At 52.1% G+C, this 12,889-nt stretch overlaps 1 protein-coding gene across 12 annotated transcripts in view, besides 2 other annotated features; it reads right to left on the bottom strand.

Annotated features, from left to right (window-relative positions):
• Nucleotides 1-12,889, bottom strand: part of RIPOR3 (RIPOR family member 3) — a 105,435-nt gene that overhangs the window by 46,087 nt on the left and 46,459 nt on the right. The window contains exon 1 of one of the 12 annotated variants that reach the window (NM_080829.4): nucleotides 4,387-4,599. The exons of the other annotated variants lie outside the window; for them this stretch is intronic. The gene's annotated coding sequence lies outside the window, so the exon portion shown is untranslated. Of the gene's footprint in view, nucleotides 1-4,386; nucleotides 4,600-12,889 lie in introns of those variants that run through there. 12 annotated transcript variants of the gene reach the window in all.
• Nucleotides 8,014-8,709: an enhancer, noted in NCBI's record as "H3K27ac-H3K4me1 hESC enhancer chr20:49256745-49257440 (GRCh37/hg19 assembly coordinates)". NCBI's record gives its function as "activates a minimal SCP1, AML or CMV promoter by ChIP-STARR-seq in naive H9 embryonic stem cells {active_cell/tissue: H9 hESC(naive)}" and the evidence as "EXISTENCE:reporter gene assay evidence [ECO:0000049][PMID:30033119]".
• Nucleotides 12,304-12,885: an enhancer, noted in NCBI's record as "NANOG-H3K27ac-H3K4me1 hESC enhancer chr20:49261035-49261616 (GRCh37/hg19 assembly coordinates)". NCBI's record gives its function as "activates a minimal SCP1, AML or CMV promoter by ChIP-STARR-seq in naive H9 embryonic stem cells {active_cell/tissue: H9 hESC(naive)}" and the evidence as "EXISTENCE:reporter gene assay evidence [ECO:0000049][PMID:30033119]".

Genomic DNA, 12,889 nt, shown 5'->3' on the forward strand with positions numbered 1-12,889 from the left:
TGTGCCGTACATAGGAAAGCTTGGCAACAAAGAAGGTGGACCTGGGCTCAAATCCCAACTGTGCCACTCAGGCTCTGGGCCTCAGTGATCACAAGAGTAAAAGGGGAATTCAGAAAGAACCTCCCACGGAGACTGCTGGAAGGACCAAGGAAAGCATGTCCCGAGAGCCCACAGTGTGCAAGAGACATGTCGGAAGAGCTGGCTGTCTCTGTGCAATTGGCTAAGACCCCAGCTCTGCAGGTGAGCCAGGTGACCCAGATAAGCCAGGTGACCCAGGGAGAGCCAAGTGAGAAGTGAGCGGCTTCTAGCCCGGATGGAGGAAGGTGGCAAGCATTTGCTGACCACTCGCTGTGTGGCAAGCCTGGTGCCCCATGAGTGGCTACGAATCCATGAACAGCTATGAACCCATGCCCAGCAGTGCTGTGTACAGATGGGGAAGTTGAGGCATCATTCATCAAGTGCTCATTACTAAGCTGGCCCTGCACTAAATGCTTTATGTAAATTATGAAATCCATACAACCCTCTTAAGAGCAGGAGCTTTTGATGATCTAATTCCATAGATGAGGAAACTGAGGCTCAGAGAGGTGATGAGACTAGCCCAGGAGCCCCAGCAGGGCACCTGAGCACTGGGTTTAGAACCCGAGGATGCCCGATGTCAGAGCTTGTCTTACCTGCGGTCAGGAGAGCCTTGCACTGGGGCCTTGCCCCTGCCCCCATAAAGAGGTCCCCTACAGTCCCCTCCTGTGCTGTGCTGAGCCAGCTTGTACCAGCTCCCAACAGTCAACTGGGCCAGGCACAGTGGCTCACACCTGTAATCCTAGCACTTTGGGAGGCCGAAGCAGGCAGATTGCCTGAGCTCAGGAGTTCAAGACCAGCCTGGGCTACATGGTGAAGCCCCGTCTACTAAAATACAAAAAATTAGCCAGGCTTGGTGGCAGGCGCCTGTAATCCCAGCTACTCGGGAGGCTGAGGCAGGAGAATCACTTGAACCTGGGAGGTGGAGGTTGCAGTGAGCTGAGATCATGCCACTGCACTCCAGCCTGGGCAACAGAGCAAGACTCTGACTAAAAAAAACAAAAAACAAAAAACAAAAAATAGTCAATTGTTAAATGTTCAGGAATTTTGTGAGCCTGTTGACATCACGTTGGTGGTTTGAAATCAGCCACAGTAAACGTATTTACACCACAGAAAGCGGCAAGTTCTACAAGTTAGGGTTTCTGTCTGCTGGTTGTTAAACACGTATGAGCTCCTCACTGCTGTTACCCCTATCAGCACCTATGCAGGGCCTGAGAAGCTGCTCAAACTGCTTGATCCCCCCAGCCAAGCCAGGCAAGAGAATAAGGACGGAGTAGGGAGGGATTCCCAAAGGTGAGTAGTTGAGACGTACTCCGGAGCCAGCCTGGGCACTGGAGCCGGAAGGGGCTTCCCCGGCCCCTCCCTCTGCACCTTCCCATCAGAAGCCTTCTGGGCCGTTCCTGGAGCTTCACCCCAGTCACTCCACTTCAAGGTCAGAGAGAAGGACAATTGCTAAGCAGTTCCTCCCGATGCAAAGCTCAAAACAAGCCCCAGGTCCTCCTGCTCAGTGTGAGAGAGAGGACGACGAAGGAGGGAAACTAAGGCTCGGAGCAGACCTGCAGAACCTGACAGCGGATTCATCACTCATAGCACTGTGAGGTTCAATGGCCCCATTTTTCATATGAGGAAAGAAAGGCTCTGAGAGGTGAGAGGCGACTCAGGGACACACATATTTCTTTCTTTATTTCCTTTTCCTTCTTTCTTTCTTTTCTTTTTTTTTTTTTTTTTTTTAGACAGGGTCTGACTCTATTGCCCAGGCTGGCGTGCAGTGACACGATCTCAGCTCACTGCAACCTCCACCTGCTGGGCTCAAGCCATCCTCCCACATCAGCCTTTCACGTGGCTGGGACTACAGGCACACACCACCATTCCCAGCTAATTTTTGTATTCATTGTAGAGATAGGGTTTCGCCATGTTGTCCAGGCTGTTCTCGAACTCCTGAGCTCAAGCGATCCACCCACCTCAGCTTCCCAAAGTGCTAGGATTATAGCCGTGAGCCACCGCGCCTGACCAGGACACTCATTTTTCAAACTGAAGTCTGGCTCTTCCTTCTTCCACGTGCCATGGCCACATGGATTGGCTTCCTGGCTAAACCCTCCTCATCTTTCAGCCCAGATGTCCCCTCCCCCAGGAAGCCTTCCTGGACACCTCCCCACTCCTAGCTGTGTCTGGTGTTTCCTCTGGATGCCCCTGACCTCCTCTGTTATAGTGGACTGTGAATGGTGACTTGTCTATCTCTCCATCCTAGACAGGGAGCTCCCTGCAGGCAGGGACCAGGTGCATGGAAGATTCATAACACATCTTTATTGAACCAGAAAACAATGAAGGAAAGGTTGACGCTGCTTCCCCTACTTCACCAGGCTGTGCAGCCCAAGAGGAAGGTGCTGGAATAATAACAGTAATACTAATACTAATAACCACTATGTGCTAGACTCTAAGGCAAAGATGGACAAATGTTTTCTGTAAAAAGCCAGATAGAAAGGCTGAGCGCAGTGGCTCACACCTGTAATCCCAGTACTTTGGGAGGCCAAGGTGGGTGGATCACCTGAGGTCAAGAATTCAAGATCAGCCTGGACAACATGGTGAAACCCTGTCTCTACTAAAAACACAAAAATTAGCCGGGCGTGGTGGCGCATGCCTGTAGTCCCAGCTACTCTGGAGGCTGAGGCAGGAGAATCACCTGAATCCGGGAGGCAGAGGTTGCAGTGAGCCGAGATCAAGCCACTAAACTCCAGCCTGGACAACAGAGCTAGACTCCATCTCAAAAACAAACAAACAAACAAAAAGCCAGATAGTAGATATTTTTGGTTTTTCAGGCCATACAGTTTTTGTCACAACTACTCAGTTCTAGCATTTTAGAGCAAAACCAGCTGCAGACATTATGTAAAGGAATTATGCCATGGCTGTGTTTCAGTAAAACTTTATTTACAAAAGCTGCAGCAGCTGTTGAGGATGATGGGTGGCCCTGCCTCTGACCCTTGGGTAGCCAGCACTGCCTGCTACCTGCTCTGAGGACTTAAAATTCTCATTTCATTCTCCCAACACCATATGAGACAAGTACTATTACTATCCCCATTTTGCAGATAAGGAAACCGAGGCTCATGCCAGGCGTGGCGACTCACGCCTATAATTCCAGCACTTTGAGAGGCTGAGATGGGCGGATCACTTGAGCCCAGGAGTTCGAGACCAGCCTGGGTCTCATAGTGAGACCCGGTCCCCACAAAAAATACAAAAATTACCCAGATGTGGTGGCGTGCACCTGTAGTCGAGCTACTGCGGCAGGCTGAGGTGGGAGGATCATTAGAGACCTCCCAGCAAGTCGAGGCTGCAGTGAGCTGAGACTGCACCACTCCAGCCTGGCTAACACAGTGAGACCCTGTCTCAAAAGAAGGAAAGGAAGGAAAGAAGGAAAGGAAAAAGGAAAGGAAGAAAAGAAGGAAACCGAGGCTCAGAGAGGACGGAAATGAGTCCTCCGAGGTCACACAGGTAGGAAATGCCAGAGCTGAAACTGGACCGGGGCGCGCTGGACTCCAAAGCCTGGCTTCGGGACTCCGCTGTGCTTGCTCCCGCAGCTCTGCTGAGGACACGCCCCCCTCCCAGGAGCCAGACCTCCTCCAGCGGGGAAGAGGCCCCAGAATGGAAATAGGATTGGGAGGGGGACCTGCCAAGCTAGAAAGATAGCCCTGGGTGGTGGCCGAGAAAAATCAAGCCCAACCTCTTTTGGCTTCAGGGTGTTGCAGCCCCAGCCCCTGTGGGCCCCCTTGGGGCCTGCGGACCGCGACAGTTCCCAGGCAGCTCAGCTGCGCCCCCTCCCGGCTGGGCCTGGTGGGGCTGATCCATGACGTTGACTTGGAGTCCAGCCAAGCAGTGTTTCTTGTGGTAAAAGAAACAGACCTCCCCCTGGATGATTGGGGATGGGATGGCCAGGCTGAGACCCACAATCTCAGGAGCCTTCAGCGGACAGCTCCTGACAAGTCCAGTTTGTCACCTGCGACCAAGGGTGACATTCCTGATGTTTAAGCAATGGCACAGCAGCAAATGGAGGCTGGGTGCTGGAGCAGGGTCTTGAAGACCCTGTCCCCTCCCACCATGTGTCACCACCCCTGCTGGGGCTGGCATTAACCCTTTAGCTACTGGATTGTGGGCAGGTCTAGGAGGTCCCTGGGGAGGCATCAGGAAGAGAGGAGGAATGCTCGGGTGGCTTAGGGCAGCCCTGGGTAACCAGCACTCTGCAGGCATGAGAGACAGTGCAGAGACCCTGCTGGGCCCCAGGGCAGAGAAGGGAGGCACAGAGTCATGCAGTTCCCAAACCTTTGGTGGCAGACAGGACAGCCTCTTCTACTCCGTGTCCCTCGCTGCCTCTCTCTGGCCTGGCACTTAGAACTGATGCCGTTCAGACCCGGCTGGTGTGTGCAGGGAGAGGAAGCCAGATGCTCCCAGACACTGGGGACTGTCCTGGGCCTCCGTCCCCAAGGTGTGGCTGGAGGAAGCAGAGTCTACTCCCGCTAAGTCTGTCCGCTCACTGCTGGCCAAAGCTGCCCTGCGTCTCCTCCCCACCGCCAGCCAGAGGGAACCTGCAATTTCACCTCATTTAGAGGTAAAACATCTAAATTTAACGTTATGGGCTTTTGGGGCTGGGTGGCTTTTATGCCTGAGTCCCTCACTTAGGGCTCCTTTTTATCCACTCAAATGCCAGCTAGGGCTTAGTTTGTTTATAGGAGTTTCCAAAATAGCTCCTTTGGTTTCGCATGAAAGGAAATGGCAAAATAGCCCAGGAAGAGGAATGTGAGTTTACACAGAAGACAGACAGGCGCCCGAGGAGGCTTCTCTGGGAACCAGTTCGCCTGTACCAGAGGGGGCCCGAGAAAGTGTGGAGTCCAACAGTCCAACTCGCTCATTTTACCGATGTCAAGACTAAGCCCAGGATGGTCACACAACTTGCCTGGACCACCCAAAGGCGACTGGAAGAGCCAGAAGAACCCAAACTACTCCTCCCTGCCAAAGCACAGGCCTCAGCTGGAGCCCCCCTCCAGCCTTTGCCCTGGCTGTGTCCTCTGCCTGGCACACGCCTCCCTTCCCCCAGGTCTTCCCTATCACTCTCTCCCAGCTTGCAGGCCTCACAACCAAGGCCACCTCCTCAGAGAGGTCCTCCCTGACCCCCTTGGCTAACGTGGACTTGCCCCTCACCCGTATCCTTCAAATAACTCATGGTTCTGATTGTCTTATTCATCAGTTAATCAAGTATGCTTCTCAAGAATCTTCGCTCCAGGGAGCAGGGGGTTTTTCTGTCTTTTTAAAAAAAAGTTTTTGGGGCCAGGCACACTCCTATAATTATGGGCTCACGCCTGTAATCCCAGCACTTTGGGAGGCTGAGTCTGGTGGATCACCTGAGGTCAGGAGTTCAAGATCAGCCTGGCCAACATGGTGAAACCCCATCTGTACTAAAAATACAAAAATTAGCCAGGCGTAGTGGCGGGCTCCTGTAATCCCAGCTACTCAGGAGGCTGAAGCGGGAGAATTGCTTGAACCCAGGAAGCGGAGGTTGCAGTTAGCTGAGATCACACCGTTGCACTCCAGCCTGGGTGATAAAGCAAGACTTCGTCTCAAAAAAAAATTTTTTTAAATAAATAAATACATAAATTATTATTATTATTATTTTTATAGAGATGGGTCTTGTTATGTCACCCAGGCTGGTCTCAAACTCCTGGCCTCAAGCGATCCACATGGTGTGAGCCACCATGCCCAGCCTGCTGGTTTTTAAAGAGCATATTTAAATGAAAAGAGACAAATTTAAAGGACCCTTGGTTTAAATAGAGCAGGTTGGAACCAGCTTCAGGGCAGCCCATGGTCCTGGCTCTGCCATCCTCCAGAACCACCTGGAGCCAGGAGGGGACACCCAAGGTGTCTCTGCAGAGGACAGCGGCCTGACGGATAGACACACAATGAGTGCCCTGATTTGTGATTTAAGAGAAGAACAAGCAGCTCCTTGGGAAGCCCCAGTGTCCCCTGCGCTCCACTGTCCCAGGACTGCAGGCAAAGGGACGCCTCCTGACCGCAGAATAGTCAACAGCAGGCACGGGAGTGAGGACCGGGATCCAGGGAGGCCGCTTCCCTCTGTCTATCAGTCTGCAGCCCTGGGTCCCAGCTCACTCCATTGGGGTTTTCCCAGATAAAGATGACTCATGAATTTCTTTGAATTATCCAGAGGGCATTTTAATTCAAATGGCCCCATCACTGCCTCGTCACCACTCCCACCAGCCATGCCAGGGGTCAGCCAGGGGTCACCTTGAAGACAAAGCCTCTCTTTGGGAAAGAAGCCTTTGAGGCCACTGTGGGGTGGCTGTGTGTCGGGGCGCCAGGTGGGAAGGCAGCTGGGGCCTGCCCAGGCTAGGGAAGAGAGCGTGGGGGTGTGGGGGATGAAGGAAGATAAAGATGGGGTAGCGGGAGGGAGCGGGGGAAGCTGGGCCTCCAAGAAGCACAGGCTGACTTGGGAATCCCATCTCAAACGTGCCTCACCCTGGTCTCCAGCTGTAGGAGCAGTGATAAGGATGAGGACAGGCAGGAGGGACTGAGATGAGATGAGAGCATTTGGAGCCTGGAGAGAGACCCCTGACACTGAGGGAGTGAGGTGACCTGGTGGTGGCTATTCCAGGCCAAGCACCTTTGTTCAACTGTCAAAAACTAGAAACAGGCCGGGCGCAGTGGCTCATGCCTATAATCCCAGCACTTTGGGAGGCCAAGGTGGGTGGATAACTTGAGGTCAGGAGTTTGAAACCAGCCTGGTCAACATGGTGAAACCCCATCTCTACTAAAAACACAGAAATTAGCCAGGTGTCGTGGTGCATGCCTGTAATCCCAGCTACTCGGGAAGCTGAGGCAGGAGAATTGCTTGAACCCAGGTGGCAGAGGTTGCAGTGAGCCAAGATTATGCCACTGCACTCTAGCCTGGGTGACAGAGCGAGACTCCAACTCAAAAAAAAAAAACCTGAAAACAGCAATAATGCCAGTGGTACCCAACACGGCTACAGGACTTGTGCAGTGCCAGGCATTGCTCAAAGAATTCACTCATTGAATTCCTGGTACCCAGGAAGTCTGGCCTCAAGCCTGAGCTCTGCCCCCGCTGAGCAGAACCCCTCTTTCTAAACCCCGGACACTGGGCTGGACACACAGCCTCTCACTCACCCCCACAGCTCCCCGGGGGCAGGGCACTGTTACCATTGTACAGACCAGGAGGCTGAGGCTCGAGATGGAGCCACCTGAAGTGGCAAGTTGGTAGCATTGTACCTCCAATGACTCACCAAAACGCCTGCATAAAAATCCAGGTGCAGTGGCACTCACCTGTAGTCCCAGCTACCTGGGAGGCTGAGGCAGGAGGAGCACTTGAGCCCAGGAAGTTTGAGGCCAGCTTGGGCAACACCATGAGCCAAAAATAAATAAATACAATACAGGTAAAGTGCTTGTGTATAGGCAGTGTGGTGCAGGTGTGTGTACGCCTGACCTAGGTCCCAGGAGTGACTAAGGGACACGCAGAGTGGGGCTCTCCAATCAGAAGCCCTCACTCTGGAATTGGTTATGGGAGGGTCCCTGGACCTCAGCATGTAATGCTTTGCTGTGGAGGCTGTCCTGTGTGTTCAGCAGTGTCCCCACACCAGGAGCACAGCCTGTGACAGCCTGGCACATCTCCAGACACTGCCACACGTCCCTGTGCTAAAGGCATCTCTTCGGACCTGGGCTGGAGGGTTCATTAACCCGTATGGTGGCTTAGGCATAATTTTCCATGGGCGAAATGAGTAGTATTGAAGACACTATGGTATTTGGTTGGCTACAGTATTGCTCGGGCACCTTCCCCTCACACGAACAGGTGTGGGACTCTGGCAGACCACACAGCCTGACACCTACGGAGCGGCCCTGGGTCTGCGGCTCCCACAGGGCCTCTGCCACTCCAGCCGTGACACACACACATGCTGTCACCAGCCTAGGATGTGCACAAAGCCTGTAGGTCTGAGACCAAGGACATGAGCTTGGAGGAGCTGGCTGGATTCCTCAGACCTCTGGGGCCCGTTTGCCAGAGCAGAGCCGAGACCTGCCTGAGACCTGCCTTCATTGCAACCCTGGCCCTGTGGCACGGCTGCAAGGGAGGAGAGACCGGGTGAAGGGCTGCTTCCCCTTTCCATCCAAAAACACACAAACAAAAGACGCCTGAGCTTGGTGAACACACGCACTGGTCAGGCTTAGCTCCATGCGGGGAGGATGTAAATTCAAACCCAGGTGGGCTGAACTCCAAAGCACTCTTCGGCCAACCACTGGTCACTGGAATGAACTGCCCCCAACCCTCTGTCATCTCGGGGACACAGACCCTGCCCCCCTCCGCAGGGCTGGACAGCAGAGCAGCTTCCCTCTACAAAACGGTCAAAAAGGCAAAGAAAGACTTCCACACCCTGCCGCTGCCTGGGAGAACCCTGAGCTTCCTTTCTGCAGTGACCTCTCCATTAGACGCACAGGCCCACGCATGCGCCCACGAACACATGTGAATTACTTCTAGGATCAGAAGGCAAAAAAATGTTCTTTAGGTCAAAGAAAATGTGTTATTATATAAGAGTAATGTATTCATTGTTATAGCAAGTTGTAATATGCACTTCTTTTTTTTTTTTTTTTTTGAGACGGAGCTTTGCTCTTTTTGCCCAGGCTGGAGTGCAATGGCGCAATCTCGGCTCACCGCAACATCTGCCTCCTGGGTTCAAGCAATTCTCCTGCCTCAGCCTCCTGAGTAGCTGGGATTACAGGCATGCACCACCACGCCTGGGTAATTTTTTGTATTTTTAGTAGAGACAGATTTTCTCCATGTTGGTCAGGCTGGTCTCAAACTCCTGACCTCAGGTAATCCGCCTGCCTCGGCCTCCCAAAGTGCTGGGATTACAGGCGTGAGCCACCACGTCCGGCTCACTTCTTTTTTTTTCTGAGAGAGAGACAGGGCTCACTCTATCACCCAGGCTGGAGTGCAGTGGTGGGATCACAGCTCACTGCAGCCTTGACCTCCTGGGTTCAAGCGATCCTCCCATCTCCGCCTCCTGAGTAGCTGGGACTACAGGTATGTGCCACTGCACCCGGCTAATTTTTTTAAAATTTCTTTAGAGACAGGGTCTCTCTATGTGGCCCAGGCCAGGGTGCAGTGGTGTGATCATAGCTCACTGCAGCCTCCAACTCCTGGACTGAAGCAGTCCTCCCACCTCAGCCTCATGAGTAGCTGGGACTACAGGTGTGAGCCCCACACCTGGTCCTATTTCTTATTGGAAGGGCCACTGCAGGCCAAGATGCTCGGTGCCCAGGGAAGTCATAGCACGGCCCTGCCCTTGACCCCTTCCAGCCATCCTGGGAATCTGTCCCCAGCCACCTCCAGGCCACAGGCTCCTTCCCCATCTCTTCCCCACCCAGGAGCTGTGTTACACAGATCACTTTAGCGTTTCCCACGCTAAACCACTGAAACTGAGGGTTTTATCTCCCACTCTCCTTGCTCCCAGTTCCGCATGGCCACTGGCCTGGCTGAGACAGAGCCGCTGGAAGTGCCCGGCAGGACCTCTCACTTGACCTTCAGCCTCTTACTTAACCCTCCCAATGCAGGGCGGTAGCCTCCACTGGGTCCTGTTCAGCCCCTACTCCTAGAAATGGTCTGGGGGGTAAGGGTGGGGCCCCCTGCAGAGCCCTTGGATGTGTGTTTGCGCCATGGCAGTAGTACACCCACCCCCTTCTGCTTCCGCAGAACCTGGCCGGCTCCTCCCCATCCCAGGGGGAGAGGCTCCTCCTGCTCCCACTTCCCTCCTTTACATTTGGCTACTACTCTTAGGGGTGGGGCTTTGTTTACTTTGCATTTTCCTGATTCCTAATGAGATTAAGCACATTTCCTTAGGTTTACCGGCTTCCCAATCTCCTCTTCTGGGAATTTTCAGTGCCTATTCCTTTGTCCAGTTATCTGCCTTCTTCTTCTTGATTGCTGGGAGCGGCTGATAAATCCTAGATGACCATCCTTTCTCAGTTTTCTCCCAGCCCCTCACCTTTTAATCTTAAATTGTTCTCTGTGGGTGTGTGTGTGTGTGTGTGTGTGTGTGTGTGTGAGAGAGAGAGAAACAGGGAGAGAGATACAAGCTTCAAATACTTATGTGGCCAAATCCGTCACAGGTTTTCCTTCTGTGTTTTACAATTTGGAAACTGCTTTCTGGTCTCTAAGATTAAGTTGCTAATCTGTTAACCACTGGTGTTTAATTCCCTGGGGGAGAAGCTTGTCTTCCCAGCCAGGCTGCAAAGTCCCCCAGGGTATGTCTCCATCTCCCCCCTCCCCCCATGAGGCCTTAGTCAAGAGATTCCACTGCTCCTCAGAAATACCGTGAATTTGTCCCCTCCTTCCTGCCTCCACCCCTGCTCGCCAGGACCAATCTCTGCCTCCCTCTCACCCTCTGCCCCACATGATTACCACAGTGATTTAAAAAAAAAAAATCCATCAGAGGCCAGGTGCTGTGGCTCACGCCTGTAACCCCAGCACTTTGGGAGGTCAAAGCGGGCAGATCACCTGAGGTCAGGAGTTCGAGACCAGCCTGACCAACATGGAGAAACCCTGTCTCTACTAAAAATACAAAATTAGCCGGGCGTAGTGGCACATGCCTGTAATCCCAGCTACTCAGGAGGCTGAGGCAGGAGAATTGCTTGAACCCGGGAGGCAGAGGTTGCGGTGAGCCGAGATTGCACCATTGCACTCCAGACTGGGCAACAAGACCGAAACTCCATCTCAAAAAAAAAACCCAAAAAGAATAGAAAAATGTCCATCAGGGCTGGATGCAGTGGCTCAAGCCTGTAATCTCAGCACTTTTTTTTTTTTTTTTGAGATGGAGTCTCGCTCTGTCGCCCAGGCGGAAGTGCAGTGGCTGGATCTTGGCTCACTGCAACCTTTGCCTCCAGGCTCCAGTGATTCTCCCGCCTCAGCCTCCCAAGTAGCTAGGACTACAAGTGTGCACCACTAGGCCAGGCTAATTTTTGTGTGTGTTTTTTTTTTTTTTTTAGTAGAGTTGGGGTTTCACCATCTTGGCCAGGCTGGTCTCAAACTCCTGACCTCAAGTGATCCTCCCGCCTTGGCCTCCCAAAGTGTGGGGATTACAGCTGTGAGCCACCATGTCTGGCCAAATCCCACCACTTTGGGAGGCCGAGGTGGGAAGACCGCTTAAAGCCAGGAGTTTGAGACCAGCCTGGGCAACACAGAGAGACCCATCTCTACAAGAAGTGAAAAAAAAAGTTGGGCACATGTTCTCAGGACCCCCTGAGGCTATGTCTTGGGTCATGGTCACTCATAAATAAATTGTTTTAATTAAAAATAAATGTTGAAAAATTAGCTGAGCATGGTGGTATGTACTTGTAGTCCCAGCTAAGGCAGGAGGATTTCTTTCTTTCTTTCTTTTTTTTTTTTTTTTTGAGATGGAGCCTCACTCTGTCGCCCAGGCTGGAGTGCAGTGGTGCAATCTCGGCTCACTGCAAGCTCCGCCTCCCGGGTTCACGCCATTCTGCCATTCTCCTGCCTCAGCCTCCCAAGTAGCTGGGACTACAGGCGCCCGCCACTGTGCCCGGCTAATTTTTTGTATTTTTAGTAGAGATGGGGTTTCACCGTGTTAGCCAGGATGGTCTCGATCTCCTGACCTCGTGATCCGCCCACCTCAGCCTCCCAAGGTGCTGGGATTACAGGCGTGAGCCACCGCACCCAGCTGGGAGGCTAAGGCAGGAGGATTTCTTGAGCCCAGGAGTTCAAGGCTGCAGTGAGCCAGGATTGTGCCACTGCACTCCAGCCTGGGCAACAGAATGAGACCACATCTCTAAAAAAATTTAAAAATAAATAAAAAATAAAAATGTCCCTTAGTTTGTCACTATATTGCCCAGGCTGGTTTGGAACTCCTGGCCTCATGTAATCCTCCCAGCTCAGCCTCCCAAAGCGCCGGGATTACAGGCATAAGCCACTGCACCTGACCCCAACCGAAAATTCTTAAGGCACATTTTTGACACTAAAAACAGTATTTTATAACTGCTAAAATAGATATGTTAATTCTAGTCTTTTCTTGTGCACAGAAACAAATTACCACTTTAGTTTCTCAAGGAGCACATGTATACATGTTAAATGCATTAATTTGTTTAATATAAACATGAAATACTTTTTATAACCTGGATTGGTACATATTTCTTTTCTTTTCTTTTTTTTCTTTGAGGCAAGATCTGGCCCTATCACCAGGCTGGAGTGCAGTGGTGCAATCTTGGCTCACTGCTACCTCTGCCTCCCGGGCTCAAGCAATCCTCCCACCTCAGTCTCCTGAGTAGCTGGGACTACAGGCATGTGCCACCATGACCGGCTAATTTCTGTTTTGTTTTTTTTTGTTTGCTTTTTTTTTTTTTTTTTTTTTTTTTTGTAGAGACGGAGTTTCACCATGTTGCCCAGACTATTCTCAAACTCCTGGGCTCAAGCGATCCTCAACCTCAACCTCCCGAAGTGTTGGGATTCCAGGTGTGAGCCACTGCACCCAGCCCTTTTATTTATTTTTTATTTTTTATTTTTTTTTTTTGAGACGGAGTTTCGCTCTTGTCACCCAGACTGGAGTGCAGGGGCGCAATCTTGGCTCATTGCAACCTCCACCTCCGTGGTTCAAGCAGTTCCCCGGCCTCAGCCTCCCGAGTAGCTGAGATTACAAGCACACGCCACCAAGCCCAGCTAATTTTTTTGTATTTTTAGTAGAGACAGGGTTTCATCATGTTGACCAGCCTGGTCTCAAACTCCTGACCTCAGGCAATC

The sequence above is a fragment of the Homo sapiens genome, chromosome 20, assembly GCF_000001405.40.
Source record: "Homo sapiens chromosome 20, GRCh38.p14 Primary Assembly".
Taxonomy (NCBI): Eukaryota; Metazoa; Chordata; class Mammalia; order Primates; family Hominidae; genus Homo; species Homo sapiens.